This window comes from Homo sapiens, chromosome 10 (genome assembly GCF_000001405.40).
Source record: "Homo sapiens chromosome 10, GRCh38.p14 Primary Assembly".
NCBI classification, from domain to species: Eukaryota; Metazoa; Chordata; class Mammalia; order Primates; family Hominidae; genus Homo; species Homo sapiens.
The window spans coordinates 98,641,568-98,668,365 of NC_000010.11; the positions used below are offsets into that span (position 1 = coordinate 98,641,568).

The window sequence follows — 26,798 nt, forward strand, 5'->3', positions numbered from 1 at the left end:
CAAAGCAAGCCTCCATCTCAAAAAAAAATTAATTAAAAAAAAAATAGAGACGCTTTAAACCTTGATATGGCACACACAGACCCTTTTCAATTTGAAAAACAATAAATGACAGGCAACAACTGTGATGGGGAGCTTGTGACCATGCCCATCTAGACTGCACTATTTTCCTATTTTTCTACTCTGGTTCCCACAGTGCTGATGCCCAGCTGGGACTTTGTGTCTTTTTCCTTGTCTTACCCCCAGAATCGCTCCTTTTCTTCCCAGGATACTTTTACTCACTTTCTGAATTTTCCTAATCTGGTCAGAGAGTGTGTCTAACAGGCGAGTTTTCAGGAAGTCCATCACCTTGACCACCCGGCCATCAATGTAGCAACTGGAATAAAAATAAAATAAGAATCAGATAAAATCTCAAGCAAGGGATTATAAATACACTTCTCTAGCCCAAGGTCTCTGTTGCCCGAGGAAACAAACCAGGGTTCCACTCGGGCTCTCATATTCTAAAAGGTTTTGAACCTGGGTACTTTTCAAACAAATAATAACCTTTTTATCTTCTCCATTTCCACCACTATTTGTGGGCTAATACTGTTATTTTTTTCAGCTTTTGTCACGTGAAACCCCATTGCTTACTTGCTGGAATTGATGGAAATTCCATAATACAAATTGGATAATGAGGAATACTTTTTTTTCCCCTTGAGAAAGTAATTTAACACCCATCCCATGCCCATCACTAATCCCACCTTAAAGTAATAAAGGTATGTGAGAGGTTTGAAAGAATACTCAATCATTTTAATAAATTTTTCCATATCTTTAAATAAGAAAATAAACACGAAAGCAAAAATCTGACTTAGTGTAGTGAGTGAGTCTCCAGCTCATTCCTGTGGGCGAACACTCTGTAGTCAACCTACTACCAAAATATGCTGTGGTTGCCTACTACCTCCAGAATGAATGAACAAACTAATGATGAATGTACAAAGGTGGAAGGGCCCTCTCCTAAAATAGTAACAACTTGATACTCATTGGTTTTTGTTTTGATTTGGTTTTTCTTAGCTTAAATGAAATATTAAGTTGTTGACACTATGTTGTAAATATTTGACCAAAACAGGCCCATCCAGCTTTGTGGAGATATCCTTTGTGAGACTCTTTGCTGAAGATTAAGCTAAGGCTGACACAGGGTTAGGTGATCTTCGTTACCTCAGACCTTCCCTTACCCCCATCTTGGCAAAGTTCTGAATTCAATCAATTTCTAAATGCTTGTGATTCCTGGGTGCCTTTTCCAATCCACTAAGTTATCCTTGGTTGTTGGCTAATGATAAATTATTTCATTTTTAAGAAGCAGCCACCCATCACTACATATTATAGAACTATGTGAAAATTATTTTCAATGTCAACTTGCCATACCAACATGTGATGTATTGGAATGGTTAATTTTTAAATTTTTGTTTTATTGTAAGGCAGGTACTTTAGTTGAGGTAAGGGTGGTAGATGATCTACCTACTCAGCTTTCCTTTTGGCCTCACTTATGACTTTACAACATTTCCACAGAATCCAGTGCTTAAACCATTGGAATGTTGGAGCAAATTTGGCTTTTAGCCAGAAATATCTGACTTCAAATTCCAGATCTGGTATTAATAACTATATGATCTTGGGCAAGTTACGTAGTCTCTATGGGCCTCAGTTTTTTTATTCTTAAATGGGGGATAATATATCTTCTCCTCAGGCTTGAGAATTAATGAGCTAACAGATGTAAAGTTCCTGGCATACAGTAGGGACTGAACAACTTTTAGTTCTTCCTAATTGTCACCTCACAAAGATGGGATTATAAACAATAGGAGACTGATTAATTAAGTTATGTGTAAATATAGAACACTATAACAGTGGAATTTCTGTGCTGGGGGTACATGTATTTGAAAATTTTTGATGGTTACTTATATCAGGAAATAAAATAATAACATGTCCTTTGCCTCATCCCTTGTATAGATGCCAGACTCAGATCCAATAAACATTTATTATGTGCAACACATAGTGCTGGGCATATCCATGTCCATTATCCTATCTCATAACCTGTTCATAGTAGTACTTCTTCATTAGCACCTCTGATTTTTGGAAAAAGATCAGATACTTAATTAGCACCTCTGATTTTTGAAAAAAAGATCAGATACATGGCATACTACATGAAAGCCAGGCATGTTGAGACAGAGTAGTGTTAAAATTAAAAATAATTTATGCAATGCTAATCTAACACACATTTGAGGACATGAATACTTGCTACTATATTATATGGTGACCAGGAATTTGACAAGTAATGCATTGTAATTATTCTTTTATTATTTAATCAAATATATTACACTTTCCTCTTTTCTCAATTAGTTCCCAGTAACTACATTACACATCAGTATTTATAATTTTTGTTAGCAACACACATAGTTTAATACCTATTGAGATAAAAATTCCAGATGTAATTTTTCAGTAGGTAGGATTTCCTGTGAAGAACCTCCCTAGCCTACCCCAATCTGTGGCCCATGGTTGAGGGTCCCTTCATTCTTTTCCTCCTTCCTTTTCTCAAGTACCCAGAATCTGGAGTTAGAAAACCTTGGTTCAATCCCTTCTTTAAAGTGGGTTTTAAAAAACCCAAATCTACAATATTTTCACAGGGTTGGTGTACTGATCACATAAGCAAAAATGCTGGGCACGGGACCTGTCATATAAAAGCTATTCAATAACCAGATCTACTCTGTTCAGATTACTTAAGGGCCCAAGGCAGCAGAAACTTACACTGAAAGGCCATGGGATGGGATGGGCAGGGGAGCATCCCTCTGGAGGAGAGCATGCTATCCGCTGTAGAACTTGGAGTGAGGAAAGTGTAGAGCAGCAAGAACAGATGCTGGATTCCCAGCAGGTGTGAGGCAGAGGCAGGGATGGAGATGGCTGTGATTATGTTGTAAAAATTTGGAGTTTGAAAAGACCTTACTGGTCAGCTGGCCTAAAGCATGTAAGCTTGCTACAATATCCCTTAGAAGTGATTTTCTGGCTTTGCTTGAACATATCCAGGGACAAGAATTCACTGTCATACACTACTAGGACTGCTTCACTGCATCACAGCTCTAATTGACGAAAAGCTCTTCTGACATGGTGCTGAAATCTGATCCCTGTTACTTCCTCTCAATGGCTAGCATTATATCTTCTTGAACCCAGAAATGGTCCAATTGCTCCTTCATGTGATACATGGGAGATGAAATCCAGCAACCTTGGCTTAAGCAGTTTAGCCTATTCTTGTCCCCAGTTTTACCCTTACAAGCTGTATCCAATCATTCTCAGGTAATCTTGGGCTATTTCCGTGGGCTGTGAATTGGATTGGAGCGGGAGGAGATACAGGCATGGAAACCAATAAATAAAGTTATTTTATCTCAATAGTGCTGGCAAGAAATGATCTGGGTCTAAATAAGGGAGGGAACAAGAAAAGTGAAAGCAAGCAGAGATGAAGGAAGAACAAATAAAGCTTCTGTAGAGGGTAAAAGAGAGGAAGGGAGTCACTGATGACCATCAACATATAAGAGAGATTGCCTTGGAGAACACTGTTGCCAAAGAGATGTAGGTTAGTCATACAGGAATACAATTTGTTTAGAGAGATGAAAGATACTGTCTGACATATCAAAAATATACAGAATATCAAGAAAGAACTATATACCACGTAGCTGGGGATATAAGAAAGAGGTACAGAGAAAAGTTGAGACAAGAAATGTTGACGTGGGGGTCTTTTTCAGGTTGTAAGTAATGGCCAAAGCCATGGCTGCAGATGAACTCTTCAAGAGAATAAGGGAAATTAACAGAGATGTCAGAGACCCTTCAAAATGCTTCTAAAATATGGCCCTGGGCATTGCCTCTACCTTTGACCCAGCTAAGGACCCCTTCCTCCTCTAGCCTGATGATCACAGCATCTTTTTAATAACTTCAGTCTGAGTCCAATTCACATTTGAATGTCAAAGGAATCCTCACATTATACTGAGAAGTTTCAGCAACTTTCATTTGCAAACTTAAACCCACATTTATATTGTACTATGGAAATATGAACTTTGGTCATCCAGAATTCAGTATCACTTTTAAGAGAGGGGATCATTTAACCATAGGGTATGGCCAGGCGTGGTGGCTCAAGCCTGTAATCCCAGCACTTTGGGAGGCTGAGGCGGGCGGATCATGAGGTCAGGAGATCAAGACCATCCTGGCTAACATGGTGAAACCCCGTCTCTACTAAAAATACAATTAGCCGGGGCGTGGTGGGGGGCGCCTGTAGTCCCAGCTACTCCGGAGGCTGAGTCAGGAGAATGGCGTGAACCCGGGAGGCGGAGCTTGCAGTGAGCCGAGATTGTGCCACTGTACCCCAGCCTGGGCAACAGAGCAAGACTAGGTCTCAAAACAAAACAAAAACAAACAAACAAAGAAAAACCCATAGGGTATGAATTTATCAATGCCTAAACCTTTTTCTTAGATATGCTTGGACAACTAACTTACTGTACTTACCCATTGTAAATGTGAAGCTTCTAAGAAAACATTCAGCATCAACAATCCGTGGCTATTTGAAAGCTTCTTCCCAGTTACAGAGCTTTGGTTCACTGATGGTAGTTGCATGTGGTGATAGGTCCAATATAAATATATCATTTATATTTGGGCATGAAGGAGATGGAGTAGTCTGTGGTGACCATTTTATAAGAATAAATTGCTAAAAATGATGATAATGGTGATTTCTTTTTTTCTTTTTTCTTTTTTTTTTTTTAAAAAAACCCTGGCTGAATGGTCTAGAATTACCTAGACTGACACTTTTAGGTATATCATGGTCATCCTCCAAGCTCTCTTGAAATTCAGCATCACTTAAGATCATACCACAAGTCGTCGAGCTGTTCCACTAAAAACCAAAGCCAAGAAAGGCTGTGTAGAAATAACCTTTCTGGGAACTATCACAAAGGTAATGAAGTTGAAACTTTTGTATTAATACATCATCAAAAGGTCTGTCTCACCCAATGCCAGCAATTCATTCCTACCTCTAGATTGGCAGGTCATATCAAGCATATCTCTGGGGAAGTGGCAAAGATAGCAGACTATACAAAGTAAAAGGAACCACTTATCAATGTATTCACCAACTCTCCTGTCCCCCTTAATTTTACATTTTAGTTCCAGTACAATAATCTTCATCTTATTTTATTTGGTGTTGCCCTTTATTTTTATTACAAAAGAACTAAATGCTCATTGTAGACGAATTAGAGAATGAACATGAACAAAATAGAAATAGGAAAATGGAAAATCACCTACAGTATAATAAGCACAACACCTAGAGAAGCTCATTGCAACATTTTGCTGCATACTCTTCCAGTTTTTCATAGTAAATAAACATAAAATTTCCCCTAATTAGTTTTTTAATAAACCTGTACTCCAGATCCTATTCAACTAGCATTTAAACTTAAAATTGCTCCAAATGAGACATCCAAGCCCATCTCACAGGGATACTGTTAGCAAGATTACAGACTCCCAGTCAAAGCATCTTACTCTTATTTTAATTTCATTCTGGCCATTTAGAGGTCCTCTGCCAGGAGCAGAGCTCACCTCCTTCCTGTCTCTGTCAGCCAAGTTTTAACCCCATTCCCGTCCCACTGACCCCCTTCATCAGGCCCCTAGATTCAGTCTTCAGGATTGTACTACAATTAGCCACTTATGCCCATTAGGCTTTTAAAACATTTAATGAGGAGAGTTTGTTGGCTCCAGGGGCAGCTGGTTTTGTTTACCTGGCCCTTTACTTTAAAAAGAAAAACCTTTGCCCTTTATTATCTGACCCCTTCTTTTATTTCAGGTAATTGCATTAGTGCGGGCTTCCCAGTGCTCAGGAATTTCCGGACTTATTTTGCTCCCTGCTAGTTTCAAGGAGGAGGGGCAGCCTGCTCAGAATTCTAACACCCAGCCTGCTGACTGGGCAGGTAATTCCAGAAAATTGGAGCCTTCCCTACTGAAGGGGGAGAAGCTTGGATAATCATTAGAAAAACCCTGTTCACCTATAAAACCTATTCTGCCGCCTCGAAGCAAACACTGGAGAAAGGCTGATTTGAGTATTTAGGCTTTATAAATTGCACTTGCCCCTCCTCCAAAGGCCCTCAGCCTGGGCTCCTGCTGAGCACTTGCCATTAAGCTTTTCTTCTGAGGCTACATTAGTTTTCATCTTCTTTGCAATGGGTCAACCTTCTTATCTTGTGTTTCAGAACTGCTTTGGGCAGGAACGCTTAGATGAAATGAACACTGTTACAAAAAAAGGTTCTACAGAATACAGATGTTTCTTTGGCTTTCTTAAACCAGTTCAAATAATTCCATTCAGGAATCATCTAACCTACTAAAGGGACATAGTTCAGTAAGAAAGAGTTTGTACTGTGGAAAAATGTTATAGAAAAATAGTACAGGTAAAGGTCAGAGTTGTGAGCAATACTAAAGGCAAATAATGTCTTTAATGAAAGAATGAGTGCCTGTATGACTTAACCCATAATGAGCCAACCGAGGCTCAAGTGCCATGCCAAGGGCTCCATTTTCTGCATCTTCTTGCTCTCCTAACTCTTTGCACACTTTGGGTCCTGCGCCTCAAGCCCAGACCCTTTTCCCCATATATCCAGAGTTGTATGTGGAGAGGCACTGAGTGTGGGCAGAGGCTCAAATCATCTTGATCCTAGCGGTGTTAAGGAGAGGTGTACAGGAAGCTGGGAAAGGAAAGAGGTAGGGAAATCATATGCAGCTTCAGCCATTGGAGCAGGCTCTAGGGAGGGACCTCTAAAAATTTTCAGAATAGTAGCAGGTGATGGCACCAGAATTGTGGGCAGAAGTGGATCCATGTGCTTTTGGTCTGAAACTTAACACAAGTTGTGGGGCCCTCTTTAAGAGGAGGAAATCAAAAGTACAAAACAAGGCTGGGCACAGTGGCTCATGCCTGTGGTCTCAGCACTTTGGGAGACCAAAGTGGAAGGATCTCCTGAGGCCAAGAGTTTGAGACCAGCTTGGGCAACATAGCGAGACCCTCGTCTCTACAAAAAATAAAAAAATTAGCTGGGTGTAGTGGTACAGGAGGATCACTTGAGCCACAGAATTCGAGGTTACAGTGAGCTATTATGGCACCAGTACTCAGCCTGGGTGACAGAACGAGACTCTCTAAAAAAAAAATTAGAAAGCATTTTTTAAACTACAAAACACATAATAGATACAAAAGTAAGTATTTATATCAAATGACAAAATAAATCACAACAAACTCCCAGAAACTTAGAGAATCAAGTTCCTTTCTTCTGAGAGCTCTTCAAGCAATTTACTAGAAATGTTTACATAATGCTTCCTCATAGCAACCTGCCCCCATTCCCTTACCCCTTACCACCTAGAACATCCTACAACTCTCAGCACTCATAGGAATCAATGCAAGAGAGGGGTCTGAAGCTTAATTCATTAGCTTCATGGTAAATCTAAATTGTGAGGCATTAATAACAGGAATGATAGGGTCTATCTAAGTTGCCAGAACCCAACCATCTATGTGCAGTATTTTAAAAAACTCAGTGTTTGTAAATTGGGGGTTGCTTATACTGTTGCCACATCCTTCCCCTGGCCTCTTTTCATGTAATTGTCATTGTTCGTGGCAGAATAGCACAACTGAACTATAATTAAGTTAGTATATTACTAACTAGGAGAAAATAGAAAGGAGAAAGAGGAAGGGAGGAGTCTTACATATATTAAGTTCCTTCTTATTTGCTAGCTATTTTACATATAGTGTCATTTAATCTTCATGAACACTCTCTATTTTGCAGATTAGAAACTACAGCTCACACGGTATTAGTAAGTAGGAAACCAGAGATCATATAGGTACTAAGTAACAGACACCAAAACCTTTTCCCTTTGTACTTTGATCTGCCAAGTGTCCCAACAATACAGCACCATGCTTATTTCATTGGTCCTGTAATCAAGTAAAATTGTTTTTCAACTGCCTTTAGTCTTGCTTACTTCAACCAAATCTAAACAATATTGAACTAAGTGCAAATTTCTCAAGAAAACAAAACAATTACCACAAAACCAACCCAAAACAGTAACAAAAGCAAAAACCGGGGTAGATAAGTAAAAGCATGGAGGTGGTAAAACTCTATTCTTTTCTTTGCAAAAAAGTTTTTCAAAGTGTTTTAGTAATTGTTATATAAAGAAAAAGGGGCTCCATGGTCAAATAAGTTTAGGAAATGCTGGGTTAAAACCAAATTCAGTAGTACTTCCTGTTTCAGCCATGATAGAACTGAACAGCAACCAATTCAGGCTGCGATTCTTGAGAGATGGTAGGGCACCTGAGGTGAACTTCAGATCCCATTCACCTGAGCTTGCTCCTGGGGACAGGGTAAAGATAGTTTACTGACTACCAAAATTTGAGCTTCCCTTCCATAGTGCTGAGCTGTTGCCAAGAAGCAGCTGCCCAGGCAGAACCTACATTTCTTTGCCCCTCTTACATGGTAGAGGCAGGGGAATGCCAAAACGATGTGAGCAGAAATAATGTGACACTTCAGGGCTAAAGTAGATGTAGGTGTTTTTCACTTTTGAGCAGAAATTAAGAAGCCATGTCTTCTTAGTAGTGTCTGTCCCCATTGCCAGCTGAATGGAAAAGTCTCTGAGGAAAAGCCACAAAATGGTAAATACCTGGGTCCTGGAATGGCCACATGTGAGGCCATCCCCAAGGTACATCAGCATTGGACTGTCACGTTAGTGAGAAGCAAACTTCTATTGCCAGGCCACTGAAATGTGGGGATTTAATTGTTAAAACAATTTGTGTTATATTAACTAATATATGGGCATTCATTACAACAAAACACCTTTATACCAATCAATCTGTTTGACCAACAGTTCATAATAGAAGAGGTTTTCCTTTGAGAAGAAACTGTCCTTGTATGAAAATTAAAAAGATTAGCCTGGAGAACTTACTTACAATTCTAGTTTGAATTGATTGAGTGTCTACCAGTGATTGGTTGAATAATAACTTTCATTCTAATCCCATGCAAGAACAGTTGATGAGGGGAGATATTATTCTTATTTTTCTATATTTAGACATACTGAGCCTGGTGTAAAAACACAGTGACCAAGGTGATTACTAATGACCAAAAAGGACATGGAATCTAGAATGTTGGAAGGGAGGCCAGTTAATAAAGGTCACATATCAGTAGGAGGCAGCATTTTGATGACATAGAATATTCTCCATTAGGCTTCTAGCTACCTTAGTTTTCACTCAGGGACAGCCAATAGTTTGAGGTAGATTTATTGAGACATTCTCATTATTTGGTATCTCACTGAGGATATGAAATCACATGTCCTAACTTGCATGCATCACAAAAGCTAGAGGTTCAACTCTAGCCTGCATGATGTTTCTTATGTCCAGACAACCCAACACACACATCAAACTGCTTTTCTACCTACACTCACCAACACCCTGTATATTTTAGTTCCTGTACCTAACTTTTACAGTCAGCAAATTCAATGTCATAGAGCTATACCTTCTTAAAGGATGCTCACTGTGGAGAATATTGCACTGAAAGGAAATCTTACCTCACTATGATTCTTTTTATGACAATTGTCACTTCTCTGTTTAAAAAGAAAAGTTAGCTCTCACCATATAAAGCCTTTAAAGGCATTATTTACCATGATATATGTGTGTGCATACAAGCATGTGTGTAGATGTGTGTTAAAAGAAACAGAAAGAGATTGAGAGGGAGAGACAGTCAGTTCTATATGATGCAAATCACATCAGGACCAGGAAATAAAATTTAAGTTCCTTGAACTAGTGCTCAGAATATATAATATTTGAAACTGATAGATGACTCAGTTAAATTTATTCAGCTAATAGGAATTCTAATGTCATAATTCTAAGGTAAAATTTCACATGTCCCTCCGTAACAAAATGTTTCTTTACCATCCTTTCTTTTAAAAAATTTCAAGGAATTTTAAGAAACGGTACCCTAAAATATCGTATTTTTTTTCCCTCCAATCTCCTACAAATTCACTTTGGTTATCTAACCAAAAAGAGTCTGAGAATTAGGGAAATATCAGCATGTTATCTTCTTCTCTGTGATTGAGGAAAGATTTGGTTTGAACACAAAGAGAAAGAAAGATGACTGCTATCATTTTGAAGTCATGTTAAGTAGAAGGGTAGATCCCCTTTAAAGAACTAGTTCCTTTTTTTTTTTTTTCTTGAGATGGAGTCTCGCTCTGTCACCCAGGCTGGAGTGCAGTGGTGTGATTTTGGCTCACTGCAACCTCCGCCTACTGGGTTCAAGCAATTCTCTGCCTCAGCCTCCCGAGTGGCTGGGATTACAGGCACCTGCAACCATGCCTGGCCGATTTTTGTATTTTTGGTAGAGACAGGTTTCACCATGTTGGTCAGGCTGGTCTCAAACTCCTGACCTCAGGTGATCCACCTGCCTCGGCTTCCCAAAGTGCTGGGATTACATGTGTGAGCCACCACGCTCGGCCAGAAATAGTTCCATTTTTAAAAGTTAAAGACAGAAATAAAAAGCAACTGCTCCTTGAAAGAAACAATGATAGTTCACTTTCTAAATTAAGATCAAAAAAGGTAAAATTTCATTTAATATATTCTCATCACATATTTTAGACAATTAAAGTAGAAGCAAGTATATACACAGAACAAAAGGAAAATAGGGAATAGGAAGGTAAGAGCCAGATGAGGAAGGAAACACCAACATAGTGCATTGGGGATCTTTTGGTTCCCCCAAGCCAACTCATCGTCTCTGCCTCTGTTCTTTACATCTGTGTATCCTACTAAGCCTCATGATTCAACAACCAGTCCCACATATACCCTTTCAGCCATCTGCTTTTTTCAATCACCAAGTCCCTAAAGTGACCTCCCATGATTCACTAGCTTTATACCACCACTTGTCCAATCCTACCTTGGTCAGTGAAACACAACAGAGCAGTTTTTACCCCCTGCCCATTCCCAATCTCCCACTATCTAGCACCTACTCCAAATCCCCTGAGTTCTGTCACTTGAGTGGCAAACCAAGGCTTAACCTCCACTTCCATTCTCCAGGCAGTGCAACCCTTCTTGGCAAAACTACAAGGTCTACATGACTGGTCTTTGGAGACCTTCATCTGTTCAGCCTTCTCCACACAAAGCCTAGGCTTAATTAAATGGTATCTTGGCTAAAATGTGACATGGACTCTTTCTCTCTTACCCAGTGGTTATTAATCCTGTCTGAATTTGCATTAACTAAGATAATAATTATTCAAACAAAATTTTTACCTACTAGATAGCAATCTGGACAAGGAGCTAGGAGAGCTGGTTTTCCAATCATTAGTCTTGTCACCTTAAGCAAGTCACTTAGCTTCTTTTGTCTTCTTTCATCTACCTAGGTTTTTAAGCCTAGATCAAGGATGGCTAATAACTAATTGGATTCTACCAGTTTTTGCCTCACATATTTTGACACTCTGTTGTTAGATGCATACATGTTTAGGATAATTCTTGGAGAATTAATCTATATATCATTATGTAATGGTGCTCTTTATCCCTGTTAATTGTCCTTGTTCTGAGGTCTGCTTTGTCTGAAACATAGCTGCTTCAGCCATCCTTTGATTTGTGTGTGCATGGTGTACTTCTCTCTTTACTTTTAACCTATCTGAGTCTTTATGTTTAAATTGGGTTTATTGTAGGCAACATATGGTTAAGTTTGTTTTTATATCCTCCCTGACAATCTTTGTCTTTTAATTGGTATATTTAGGCTATTCACATTTAGAATGATGATTGATATAGTTAGGATTAATATCTATTATGCTCTAAGTGTTTTCTATTCCTTGTATCTGTTTTTTTTTTAATCTCTTCTTTTTTTGTTTTCTCTGGTTTTAATTGAGCATTTTATATAATTACATTTTATCTCCTCTCTTAGTATACTATTATATTTCTTTCTAAAACATTTTATGTGGTTGCCCTAGAATTTCCAATATACATTTTTAATGAATCTCGGTGTATCTTCAAATAACCCCATACTGCTTCATATGCAGTACAGGTAATAATAGAGTATCCTAAATTTATCCCACCCTTCATTTCTATCATTCATTTCCCTTATATATATGCTATAATAACCCAGTACATTGTGGCTATTATTACTTTAAACAGTTATCTTTTAGACAAATTAAAATAAGGAAAATAAAATTTTTATTTTACCTTCATTTATTCCTTCCCTGACACTCTTCCTTTCCTTTTGTAGACTTGCATTTCTGATCTATATCACATTCTTTCTACCTGAAAAGCTTCTATCAATCTCTCATGCAGGGAAAGTCTGCTGGTGATAAATTCCCTCAGTTTTTGTTTGTCTGAGAAAGTCTTTATTTCTCTTTCACTTTTCATGGATAAAGAACTCTAGTTTTTTTTTTTTCAACATTTTAATGATTTCACTCCACTATTTTCATGCTTGCATTGTTTCTTATGATACTTCAGATCCTTGTTCACATTGCTTCATATCAATGCACTTCATTGCCTTGTTCCTCTTTAGGTAAGGTATTGTTTTCCTATTGTTTTTCAAGATTTTCTCTTTTTTCTTTAGTTCTATAATATGCCTGGTTGTAGTTTTCTTGGAATTTATCCTGCTCAGTGTTCCCTGAGCTTCCTGGATCTGTGGTCTTACAGCTGTCATTAATTTCAGAAAGTTCTCTGCTATTATTACTTCAACACTTGAATTACTTCAAGCCATTATTTTCCATTATTCTTCTGCTCTGTTTTCTCCTTCTTCTCCTTCTGCTATTCTAATTATGTGTACATTACACATTTTGAAATTGTCGCACATTTCTTGGCTATTCTGTTGTTTTCATTCTTTTACCTTTCTGAATTTCAGTTTGGGCAATTTCTATTGACCTATCCTCAAGCTCACCAATTCTTTCATCAGCTGTATCCAGTCTACTGATGAGCCTACTAAAGGCATTCTTCATTTTTGTGACAATGTTTTTTATTTCTATCATTTCCTTTTGATTCCATTGTAGTTTCTATCTCTCTACTTATATTAACCATGTATTTTTGCATGTTGTCTACTTCCATTAGAGCACTTAATGTATTAATCATAGTTAAATTCTCCATCTAGTAATTCTAATAACTATGTCATATATAAGACTGGTTCTGATACTTTGTTCAGACTGTGTTTTTTCTTGCTTTTGGCTTACTTTCTAATTTTTTTTGTTGAAAACTGACATGCTGAATTAGGTAATAGGAACTGAGGAAAAAGACCTTTGGCGTGAGGTTTTGGGCGAGGAGTTGGACTGTGTTTGCTATATCAGTAGATGCCAGAGGCTTCAAAGCCCCCTAGTATCCTTGTTTATGCCTCTTTTCTTCACTTTAGGCTTTCCTAGTTACTCCTCTTCAGAGAGAATTTGTGTCTGGTGAACTCTATCAGTTGTATTCACTGTTACTGTGCTGCTGGTGTGGCAGTAAGTTGTGGGAGAAGGGAAGTGTTCTGTAACTTTATGGTTAAATCTCAGTCTTTTAGTGGACCTGTGTCCCTGGGCTATGATCTTCACCTTTTTTTCCCAGTAGCATAGCTTTCCCCCTGTATGTAAGACGGAAAGGCTAGAGGGGGCTAGAGTGTGGGGAATGCCCTTTCTCATCTGGGATAAGGCTTGGAGAGTTGGCTTTTTTTTTTTATGGAAAATGCTATGGTCATATTTCACAATGATTTACTCTCTCTCTCTGACACAGTTACTAGGAAACCTTTTTTGGATCCCACAAAAGTGTGGAGCCAAAGACTGCAGCTCCCAGGTTTTTAAGCTCAAATTAGTTCATACGAATTCTCCAGCAATTCATGGGAATTACCACTTAAGTGCTGATACCAGCTTATGGCTTCAGCAGTTTCTGCTCTTATTAAGCAAATTTTGGTGGTAACTGTGGATTCACCTGTCTCTCCAGATTTCAGGGTGGTGTTTGCTCTGCAACATCAATTCTCTGATGCATTCAAGAAAAGTCATTGATTGTCAGTTTGTTTAGCTTTTGCTTGTATGAAATTTCAGCTTTTTCTTGTATAAATAGGAAGTAACAACTTCCTATTTTCATGTTTGAGGTGAAACCAGAAGTCCACTGATGGAATTCTCATCATGCATGTCAACACTGACCTTTTGCAGTTGTGCTGGGAAATACCCTTAATCTCCACTTTGTATTGTCAATTAGTAGGTTAATATGATCAATTACTTTGGTCTGCCATGGTTATGAGAGTAAGGAATAAAGGCACATGTGATACACATGTGTCATTTTGATCAAGATGCTTTCTAAGGCCCTTTCCAGATCCAAGACTCAAGGTCTCCTCTTTGACACAGTGAAATGATACCATAGGGTGTCCCCTCAACACATATGAAGGTACTATATTTCAGTCAGTGAAACTGCATTGTGTAGAATGTTGTCCAACAGATGTGAACAGGATAAAATCCAACATGTGAGAAAAGCAAAACAAAATGACTTTCCTAAAGGTTTCACATTAGTTTCCTATTTGAGTTTTTTTTTTTTTTTTTTAATTGAGACAGAGTCTTGCTCTGTTGCCCAGGCTGGAGCGCAATGGCGCAATCTCAGCTCACTGCAACTGCTACCTCCCAGGTTTAAGCGATTTTCCTTCCTCACCTCCTGAGTAGCTGGGACTACAGGCGCATCCCACCACACCCGGCTAATGCTTTGTAATTTTAGTACAGATGGGGTTTCACTGTGTTAGCCAGGATGGTCTCAATCTCCTGACCTCGTGATCCACTTGCCTCAGCCTCCCAAAGTGCTGGGATTACAGGTGTGAGCCACCATGCCCAGCCTTGAGTTTGATTTTCTACACTTTCATTTATACATGAGATTGATAAATCATTGCTGTTTTGCACTGTCCCTATGCATGCCTCTTCCTTAATGTGGGTTGTGCTTCTATGCCTTTGAGAGAATAAGACAGACAAAGAGCATTTCTATTATACCAGATATCAGCATCCATGTCATCACATAATTGACTTTTTTATGAGGACCCACCATAAGAATTTATATCAAGGCTTAGTATCAGGAAAATGATGCTTCTCATGAAAACTTACTTTAATTTCTTACTTATAGACACTAGATTTTGTTTTCCACTTTGCTTTGGCCATTATGAAACATAGAGTCAAACTTATACCCCATCTCTCACAAGAGAATAGAATCAGCTGATAGGTTTTTTTTTTTTTTTTTGGGATGGAGTTTCGCTCCTGTTGCCCAGCCTGGAGTGCAGTGGCCTGATTTTGGCTCACTGCAACCTCCGTCTCCCGGATTCAAGTGATTCTCCTGCCTCAGCCTCCTGAGTAGCTGGGATTATAGGCACCCGCCACCACATCCGGCTAATTTTTGGTATTTTTGGTAGAGACATGGTTTCACCATATTGGCCAGGCTGGTCTTGAACTCCTGACCTCAGCTGATCCACCCATCTTGGCTTCCTAAAGTGCTGAGATTACAGGCATGAGCCACCATGCCTGGCCTGATGGGCATTTTTTAGAGTACTAATTTTCTCATCACTTTATTGCTACTCTAACCCTATTTTCCATTTACTCTTCCTTCCTCAGTTTTTAAAAAATAATGTTGCTATTGGACAGCAAAGTAACCAGAAGAGAGGTTGAGAGAAGCTGTGCAAAAAAAAAAAGCATTCAATAATTCCCAAACTATATACTTAGCCCTTATTTATACAAAGCAATGCAAAGACCTTCAGTTTCGTATCCTGCTTATGTTCCTTCCCTCTTTCCTCCAAAATCCTTTTTTTTTGTTTGTTTTGTTTTGTTACCACTCTGTTACCCAGGCTGGAGTGCAGTGGTGTGATCTCGGCTCACTGCAAACTCTACCTCCTGGTTCATGCAATTCTTGTGCTTCAACACCCCCCGCCCCAGTAGCTGGGATTATAGGTGCACGCCACCACGCCCAGATAATTTTTGTATTTTTAGTAGAGATGGGGTTTTACCATGTTGACTGGGCTGGTCTCGAACTCTTGACCTCAAACAATCTGCTTGCCTTGCTCTCCCAGAGTGCTGGGATTACAGGCGTGAGCCACCATGCCCGGCCCCAAATCCATTTTTTATATTATAAGATATTGGGAAAGATTCAGTAAGCTCTGTTCTCTTATTAAGTTTAAAAACACTCTTTGTCAGATAAAATACTGTATTTGGTATAATACAGTTTAAGGTTGAATCACAAAGACATTAACTTTAGTCTGCTGTAAATAGATTTCCCTTTCTGATAATTCTTAGATATGTTTATGTTTTCCTGGGGCTGGAATTGACCATCTTAAGTGGCACCAATAGTTGGTAAGGTTGAAAAATTAATATAATCAGGACTACCTGGTATTTTTAGGACATATTTTCTCAAAGATCACAGAGTACTTCGCAGATAACAAACTTAAGGGATTTTTTGGAATGAGAACAGACGAAGTTTTGTTTTTTCTCTTCCTTCATAATGAAGAAGAAAGTCTGGGACTTCACTGCAGGGCACATTCCATCAGAGTGTATATGGTTTGAGGGTGGGGAGGATCAGAAAAGTGGAGGCAGTTTTGGGGTTATAGGGTAAAGTATGGGCCTAAACGATACGATGAAGGACTATCGCCATGCCCGGGGTACACAGACTTTTTCTGGAAAGGGCTAGATAACAAGTAATTTAGGCCTTGGGAGCTAGATGTTCCCTGTACTCAACTCTGCTATGGCTATATCAAAGCAATTTATAATTCATAAATGAATGAGCATAGCTGTGTTCTAAGAAAATTTTATTTGTGAATACTAGAATTTGAATTTCATATATTAATAATTTTCACATCACAAGGTGTTATTTTTGTTTTTGTTTCAACCATTTGCAAAGACATAAAGCATGTTGTTAGGCCCACTGGCCATACAAAAACCCATGATGGGCAGGATTGGTAAATATCTTCTCTCAGTTCGTGACTTGATTTATCACTATCATTGATTGAAATAAAATCCAATTAATCAATCTTTTTTTTTTTTAGGGTTGGTGAGCTTTATGTCCTATTTAAGAAATCTTTGCCTACCCTAAGGTCATAAGAGTATTTTATGCTTTCTTCCGAAGCTTCAGTGTTTTCCCTTTCACACAATACTTTTATATATGATGTAAGGTATGGATTAAGCAAAAATCCTAAAAACAGCCAAAGAAAAAAGACATTACTTTCAAAAGAGTGACCATATTACTTATATTTGATTTATCAACAAAAATTATTGGGCCAGAAGATAATGAAATGACATTTTTAGACAGCCAAATTTGGACTTCAGCAATTTGACTATGATTTACATCGTTGTGGTTTCTTTTGTATGTATCTTGATTGATACTGGCAGAGTTTTTTTTTTTTTTTTAATTGAGATAAAACCCACATAACATAAAATTAACCATTTTAAAGTGCAATTTAGTGACGTTTAGTACATTCACAAAGTTGTACAACCATCATCATTATCTAGTTCCAAAATATTTTCATTACCCTAAAAGGAAATCCTATATCCATTAAGCAGTCACTCACCATTTCCCACCTCCCTATAGAACCTGGAAACTACTAATCATTTTTTTTGTCTCTATGGATTTACCTATTCTTGATATTTAATATACATTCATCCCTCAGTATATGTGGGGGATTGGTTCCAGGACCTCCATGTTACCAAAATCCACACATAGTCAGGTCTTGCAGTCTGCCCTGTTGACCCTGTGTAAACAAAAAAGTCAGGCCTCTGTACACTCAGGTTCTGCATCCCAGTAATTTTCCATCCACATTTGGTTGAAAAAAAATCCACGTATAAATGAACCTGAACATTTCAAACTACATTGTTTAAGAGTCAACTATAAATGGAATCCTACAGTATGTTGTCCTTTATGACTGGCTTCCTTCACTTAATGTTTTTGAAGTTCGTTCACATTGTACCATGTATCAGTATTTCATTTCTTTTTATGGCAGAATAACATTCGATGGTATTGATATATTTTATTTATTCATTCATCTGTTGATGGACATTTGGGATGATTCTACCTTTAAGCTATTGTGAGTACTGCTGTATGAATATTCATGAACATATATTTGTTTGAATGCCTGTTTTCAATTCTTTGGAGCATACACACCTATGAGTGAAACCACTGGGTAACAGTAACAGTAGGAAGGTCCTATGGATGGAAATCACTCTCACCTCAGAAGAGTCAGTAAAGAGTCTCTTTGAACAAATTTCCACATGAAAAATTAGAAAGATAAAGAAAACAAAGACAATCTGGGTTAGAGTGAAATTGAAATTACACAGGACAATGGGTTCACTTAGAGAAGAGGAAAGGAAAGCTGATAATAGATGCCAAGAGTATTAGCATTTTTCTCCCTAGGAGACTTGGTATTGCTAACTTCACTGAGTACTTGTGAGGCATTAATAAGCTAAGGATGGGAAAAGTTAAACTATTTTTTCAATTAAACTTTGGTTGCAGCATCATTAAAACTAAGCTGTTCTGCATGCTACTGATTTCATTCTTGGCTACCAGGCTGGTTATTTGTTTGTTGTCTGAATGAAGAGAGAAAGTGCTGCTGGGGGGCAGATCAAACAGAAGTACACATGAGGGGAAAAGAATGGTCATGTGTTAATGAGTAAGAGGCAGCTGATCCCTGAGGGATTCTCAGCACAATCTTCTCATTGCAAATTTATTTTCTAAATTTGTTAGCACTATGAGTGCAGAATTATACAAATGCCTGGGATTTCTTTTTTCCCTTTTCCTGTTGTGTTGGGTGGTTTTATTACTTTAGAACTGGAAGGGACTACATGATCATAAAGGTCTTCTCACTTATAGATGTAGAAACCCAGAGAGGTGAAATTGTGGTCCAAGGTCATACAACTTATTATTGGGGCTCCTTTCCATACCTCTGAAAATAGTTATAAGTTCTACTTTTAAAATTAGCCACTATTAAAAACGTAGATTTTAAAAGGTGCCCCTGGCATGCCATAGCCTCTCCTGGCCATAGGAAAAATTTTGGCAAAGGGCTGGCAAGGGAGCCCATTTGAACAGGGAGGCAATTCTTGGCATCAGCTGTGTCTCTGCACTTTGGCTTTCCCATAATGGCCCTTATACACTCAGGATGAAGTTTCAGAGTTTGAAGATGACCTTCATCTTTCCTTTCCTTCTGTTTCCTTTATGAGGGATGGGGGTAGAACCAGGGACCTTGCAACAATGCTACCATATGGTCATGGCATTTGGTGTCCCTTGAGCAATTTTCTCTTCACAATGAATCCCTGTCTTTCATCTATATGGAACCCACTATATTTGCCAAGTACCTTTTCATCTACACTCTCAGTGAACCTCAAAACCTTCCTAGTTAGGTTCCATTATCCTAATTTTCAAGAGGAGAAATTTAAAATGTAAAGAGGGAGTAGGCTGAATTGGCACCAGAGGCCAGGACACATCTCAGGACACCCACCTTGAATCTGGACTGCTAGCCATTCTTTAGCTCCTCCTTGCCCTGACACAGCCTTCCTCCCAGGGTGTATGAGCCTGTTTGGCATAGGATAACCTGCACTAATGCTCCCCTGGGAATCACAAGCCCGATGCAGGCTGAGAAGACAGAGAGGCTGATGAAGGTAATGGGAAATAATTATCTCCTTCAAAGGATACATAAGAAAAGTCACTGGAAGCAGCATGATAAAACTTGGACTAATGAAGTCCCAAAGGATTCTGGTCTTGGAGAAGAAAATATAGTTTACTGGTTTCCAAATCTCTGTTGCATCAGAATCACTTAGGATTGCTTTTAGTTTATTTAATTTTAGTTCCTGAGTAGCTAATATATGTACAAGGCTCAGAAATCAAAAGGAACAAAAAGCATATGGTAAAAAGTCTCCTCCCATCTCTATGTCCTAGTGACTTTATTTCCCTCCTTGGAGGCAAGCAACAAATGCTATCAGTTTCTTTTATATAAGTGACTTTAAGCACATATAAGCAGAGTATATATTTCCCCAAAACATATTTTTATATAATATTCTATGCACATTGTTCTTAACTTTCCTTTTTTCACCTAAACAATATATCTTTGTTTCATATCAGTCCACAAAGAGCTTCCTCTTTCCCTTTTTAATCTGAATTAGTATTCCATTACAAGCCTGTACCATAATTTTTATCTAGTCAATTCCCTATTACTAAACATTAAGTTGTTTTTAATTTGTTGCTATTACAGACAAAGGTGAAATAAATGACCTTGTGCAATGAATGTCCAAGAGAACTCAATTTAAGTCTAAACTCTTACACTATGCAGCTGTGTGGCCTTGGGCAAGTCAGTTAGGACTTCAGCCTTTTCAAAATGGAAGGAATCTTCTTTTTGTTTATTTGTTTTATTGAGATGGAGTCTTGCTATGTCGCCAGGCTGGAGTGCAGTGGTCTTGGCTCACTGCAACCTCTGCCTTTTGGGTTCAAGCGATTCCCCTGCCTCAGCCTCCTGAGTAGCTGGGACTACAGGCGCGTGCCACCATGCCCGGCTAATTTTTTGTATTTTAGTAGAGACAGGGTTTCACCATGTTGGCCAGGATGGTCTCGATCTCCTGACCTCATGATCTGCCCGCCTCGGCTTCCCAGAGTGCCAGGATTACAGGCATGAGCCACTGTGCCTGGCCAAAATGGAAGGAATCTTAACGACCATTTGTTGTAGCATTTTTCCAAAGTATGTTCATGGAACACTCATCCCAAAGGGTGCCCCCCCGGAAACTGACAGTACACATTAGACTGAGAAGACCACAGTGAACATACATGAATTAATCTAGGGTTTCACAAATATATTTAATAATACTATGAAGCCATAAAAAAGAATGAGATTATGTCCTTTACAGGAACATGGATGGAGCTGAAGGCCATCATCCTTAGCAAACAAACACAGGAACAGAAAACCAAATACTGCATGTTCTCACTTATAAGTGGGAGCTAAATGATGAGACCACATGGACACAAAGAGGGGAACAGACACTGGGATATAGTTGAGAGTGAAGGATGGGAGGAGGCAGAGGATCAGAAAAATAACCATTGAGTACTGGGCTTAGTACCTGGGTGATGAAATAATCTGTACAACAAACCCCTGTGACATGAGTTTACCTAATAACAAACCTGCACATGTACCACTGAACCTAAAATGAACAATTGTCATGCTGTGGAATTTTCCTTAGAATGCACTTTGAGAAAACAATGTCTAGTCTAGTCCAACCTCCTCTTATTTTACAGCTAGGAACTCATAGAAGTTTTGGATAATCAGCATCTAATACATGCTTGAACAGTATAGCTCAAAAAATACTGTTTGACTTGCATTAAACAAACAGAGATCTATTTAGGGAAATAATACAAGCCTATATAATAAATTTAGAAAGATTTAAAAAACAATAAAGAACAACTTGATGAGACCAAGATAGGACATGATAGGACCACAAGAGTTTAGAAATAGATGAAGGTCATTTAATATTTATAGGGGAAGTAAGACTTAATATGGGTCACAAAGGATGAACACACATAAGGGCAGGGGTATGAGGGTTAGCCATTCCACGAAAACACAAAACATGTTCTGGGCATAACGAAAATCAGTTTGATTAGGCCCCCAGTCTTCACCAATCTTCCTTTAGTTCCCTCATTCAACAATCACTACCAAGTATCTGCTATGTACCAGGCACTGTTCTAGGTACTTGGGATAGAGCAGTGAATAAGAGACATGGAACTTATATTCTAGAAGGAACTTAGATTCTAGAAGGGAACTCTGCTCTCATGGAACTTATATTCTAGAAGGGTGAAAAAAACCTAATAAGGGACTCATATTGAGGATAAGTGCTATAAGAAAAAAAATAGGGCTAGAGGGTTCTAGGGCTGACTAGAAGTGGCTAGTATGTGCCACTCTCACAGAGAGGAAACAAAGTGGTAAATAGTGACTCTTCAAGTGGCTCTTTTAAGAAAACATGTTGGGATCCAACAAGGGAGCAAGGGGACACAGGAAGAACAGAGAAGACTGAAGCTGAGGAGCCGCCTGCCCTGGACTAGTGCAGAGCCAGGAGATGCTCCCTAATATGGGGAAAGAATGAGAACGTAACAACCACCAGGTGATCACAGTTCCCACAAGGACCTGTGCAATCTTGGGAACAGGAGAACTTTCCTGAACCCCATGGGCCTCTAGACTGATACAGAGAGCCACCCAGATTTTTGTAGAGGTACCACTCAAGACCACGGGGAGCCCCACAGGCCTTGGATCCTTGAGCAGCCTGGCACCAGCTACCATAACGCCAGTAGTGGTCACAGTCATGGTGCCAGGGAACAGTCAGACTGATCCATTCCTCTTTGTCAGACAAAGCTCGGCTCCCACTTCCAGCACGGTGACCTTGCCCTTGTCTGAACACTGTGGGTAGGCTCAGCTCTATGTTGGCTGGGGAAAAGGTGAGATGGCTGACTCCACCCACCCCTGCTGCTTCTAGTAGAGTGGGACTCGCTGGCTCGGGCTTCCAGGGCAGCAACTCTGCCACTGCTTGAACTCTGCTGGTGGGTACAGCTCTTTGTTACCCTGGTAGGCACCCAGATGGCAGACCAGATGACTCTACCCATCTCAGCTGCTCCTAGCCAGGCAAAACTTGCTTGGGCTTTCAGTACAGTGGCTGGGACCCTGATTAAACTCTGCCAGTGGGCACAACTGTGTTACCCTGGTAAACACCCAGATGGTGGACCGGGTGATTCCACCCACCCCCACTGCCCAAGCAGGAGAAGAGCCCCCACTCTCAGAACACTGAATGGGGTGAGATGCCTGGGTTTGTGGGCTGGCAGGGAAGCAGGGCCTACCTTCTTCTGCAGGGCCAGTCCAAGAAGGGTGTAGCCTGTTTGCCAGCCAGGGAATCTGCTTGAGGCAGCGCCATGGCTCAGAACACCTGGCAAAGGAAACGTGGGCACAGTACCACCGATCAGAAGGGGCTCTTCCAAGGCCCAGGAATGGACCTGGTAAAGGGATCACCTCTCTCACCCTCTATCACAGAGCACTATCGACAATGCGCTGAAATACAAAAGAGCCCGGTGGCTAAGGGCTTATCTATCGGCCATCGCTCTCAGGCGCCATCTACTGGATGGTAATCCAAATTACAACACTAAAAATATTTCGCCCGTATATAGCGCCTGTGAAACCTAAGGCAAAAATCTAGACACAAATAAAGATCTTGTTAAGAGCCTTTGCCCTCTGAAAGCACCCAGAAATGAAGCCAACTGACTATACTCATCTTACGTCACAAACAAAGAAAGACAAGCCCTCTCAGATGAGAAAGAATCAGCACAAGAATTCTGGCAATTCAAAAAGCCAGAGTGTCTCCTTACCTCCAAAAGAATATAATAGCCACCCCAACCCCCAAATGGTTCTTAATCAGATTGAAATGACTGAAATGACAGACACAGAATTCAGAATCTTGATGGCAAGGAAACTCATTGAGATCCAGGAGAAAGTTGAAACCCAATCCAAGGAATCCAGTAAAATGATCCAAGAACTGAAAGATAAAGTAGCCATTTTATGAAAGAACCAAACTTAACTTCTAGAATTGAAGAATTCACCAGAAGAATTTCATAATATAATCAGAACCACTAACAGCAGAGTAAACCAAGCTGAGGAAACTCTCAGTTTGAAGACTGACTCTTCAAATCAACTCAGACAAAACTAAAGGAAAAAAAATTTAAATGAACAAAACCTCTGAAACATACAGGATAATGTAAAGAGACAAAATCTATGACTCACTGACATTCCAGAGAGAGAAGATAAGAGAGTAAGCAACTTGGAAAACATATTTGAAGAAAGAGTCCATGAAAATTTCCCCAATCTCTCTAGGGATGTGGACATGCAAATTCAAGAAATACAGGGAGCCCCTGTGAGAGACCATGTAAGACAACCATCCTCAAGGCACACAGTCATCAGATTCACCATGGTAAATGAAAAAGAAAAAATCTTAAATGCAGCTAGAGAGAAAGGTCAGGTCATTTACAAAGGGAACCCCATCAGGCTAGCAGCAGACCTTTCAGCAGAAAACTTACAAGCCAGAAGAGATTGCAGCCTTTTTTCAGCATCCTCAAAGAAAAGAAATTCCAACCAACAATTTCATATCCCACCAAACTCAGCTTCATAAGCAAAGGAGGATACAATCCTTCTCAGACAACCAAACAGTAAGGGAATTGGTTATTACCAGACCAGCCTTATAAGAAGTCCTTAAGGGAGTGCTAAACATGGGAACAAAAGGTTGATACCTGCTACCACAAAAGTCACTCAAGCACATAGCCCACAGACAATATAAAGCAATTACACGATCAAATTTACAAAACAAAAAGCTAATAACATGATGACAGGATCAAAATCTCACATATAAATACTAACCCTGAATGTGAATGGTCTAAATGCCCCACTTAAAAGGCATAGAGTGACAAGCTGGATAAAATGACTAGACCCAACTGTCTGCTGTCTTCAAGAAACCAATCTCACATGTAATAACATCCACAGGCTCAAAGTAAAGGGATGAATAAAGATCTAACATGCAAACAGAAAGCAAAAAAGAACAGGAGTAGCTATTCTTGTATCAGATAAAACAGACTTTAAGTCAACAATCAGAAAGGACAAAAAGGAGTATTGCATAATGATAAAGGATTCAATTCAACAAGAAGCCCTAACTATCCTAATATATATGCAGCCAAATTGGAGCACCCACCCAGATTTATAAAACAAGTTCTTCTTGACCTATGAAAAGACTTAGACAGCCACACAGTAATAGCAGGGGACTTTAACACTCCACTGACAGTGTTAGATCATTGAGGCAGGAAACTAACTAACAAGGAAAGTCTAGACTTACATGCAATTCTTGACCAATTGGACCTAATAGACATCTGCAGAACATTCCACCCAACAACCACAGCATATACATTTTTCTCATCTGCTCATGGAACATATTCTAAGATTGACTACATGCTGAGTCATAGAGCAAGTCTCAATAAATTTAAAAAAATCAAAATAATACCAGGCATACTCTTGAACTGCAGTACAATAAAAATAGAAATTAATACCAAGAAGATCTCTCAGAACTACACAAAAACATGGAAATTAAACAACTTGCTCCTGAATAACTCTTGAGCGAACAATGAAATTAAAGCAGAAATAAAAAATTCCTTGAAACTAATGAAAATGGAAACACAACTTACCAAAATCCTTGGGATGCCACTAAAGTGGTGGTAAGAGAAAAGTTTGTAGCACTAAACACCTTCATTAAGTAGTTAAAAAATTTCAAATTAATAAGCTAACATTGCACCTAGAGAAATAAGACAAAAAATAATTATTTCTAGAAGAAAAAGAGTAATAATTAAGTCAGAGAAGAACTGAACAAAACTGAGACCCAAAAGTCCATACAAAAGATCAATAAAACCAAGAGTTGGTTCTTCAAAGGAATAAAAAAGATTGTTAAACATCTAGCTAGATTAACAAAGGAAAAAAAAAGATTCAAATAAGCACAATCAGAAAGACAAAGATGACATTAAAACCAATCCCACAGAAATAGAATAGAATAGAAAAGATCCTCAGGGACTATTATGAACACCTCTATGTACACAAAGTAGACAATCTAGAGGAAATGGATAAATTCCTAGAAGCACACAACCTCTCAAGATTGAACCAGGAGGAAAGTGAAAGCCTGAACAGAACAATAATAAACTCAGAAGTTGAGTCAGTAATAAAAAGCCTGCCAACTAAAAGGAGCCCTCACACAGATGAATTCACAGCCAAATTCTACCAGATGTACAAAGAAGAACTGGTATCAATCATACTGAAACTATTCCAAAAAATAAAGGCGGAGGATCTCCTCCCTAACTCATTTTATGAAGCCAGTATCCATCCTGATACCAAAATCTGGCAGAGACACAATGAAAAAAGAAAACTTCAGGCCAATATCCCTGATGAACACAGACACAAAAATCTTTAATAAATATTAGCAAACCAAATTTAGCAGCACATCAAAAAGTTAATTCACCACAATCAAGTAGGCATTATTCCTGATATGCAAGGTTGGTTCAACATATGCAAATCAATAATTGTGATTAACCACATAAACAGAATCAAAAACAAAAACCATATGATTATCTCAATAGATGCAGAACAAGCCTTCAATAAATTTCAACATTGTTTAATTGCAAAAACCCTCAACAGGGGCTAGGCATCAAAGGCACATACATCAAAATAATAAAAGCCATCTATGACAAATCCACGGCCAACATCATATTGAATGCGGAAAAGCTACAACCATTCCCCTTGAGAACTGGAACAAGACGAGGATGCCCACTCTTAGCATTTCTATTCAACATGGTATTGGAAGTCCCAGCTAGAGCAATCAGGCAAGACAAAGAAATAAAAGGCATCCAAATAAGAGAAGAAGAAATCAACCTATTTCTCTTTGCTGATGATATAATTTTATGCATAGAAAACCCAAAAGGCTCCTGGAACTGATAATTGATCTCAGTAAAGTTTCAGGATACAAAATCAATATACAGAAATCGGTGGCATTTCAATACACCAATAACATTCTAGCTGAAAGCCAAATCAAGAACACAATCACATTTATAATAGCCATAAAAAATAAATACCTAGGAATATATCTAACCAAGGAGGGTAAAATACATCTATAAGAGGAATTACAAAATACTGCTGAAAGTAATGAAATTACACAAATAAATAGAAAAATATTCCATGCTCATTGATTGGAAGAATCAATATTGTTAAAATGGCCACACTTTCCAAAGTAATTTACAGATTCAGTGTTAT

At 38.9% G+C, this 26,798-nt stretch overlaps 1 protein-coding gene across 14 annotated transcripts in view; it reads right to left on the reverse strand.

Moving 5' to 3' along the window:
• Nucleotides 1–26,798, reverse strand: part of HPSE2 (heparanase 2 (inactive)) — an 858,875-nt gene that overhangs the window by 184,491 nt on the left and 647,586 nt on the right. For 13 of the 14 annotated variants that reach the window (XM_047425614.1, NM_001166245.1, XM_011540030.2 and 10 more), the window contains one exon: nt 280–373. In XM_047425614.1, coding sequence (XP_047281570.1) covers nt 280–373 — 94 coding nt within the window. Of the gene's footprint in view, nt 1–279; nt 374–26,798 lie in introns of those variants that run through there. The other variant, XM_047425615.1, reaches the window with a different exon arrangement.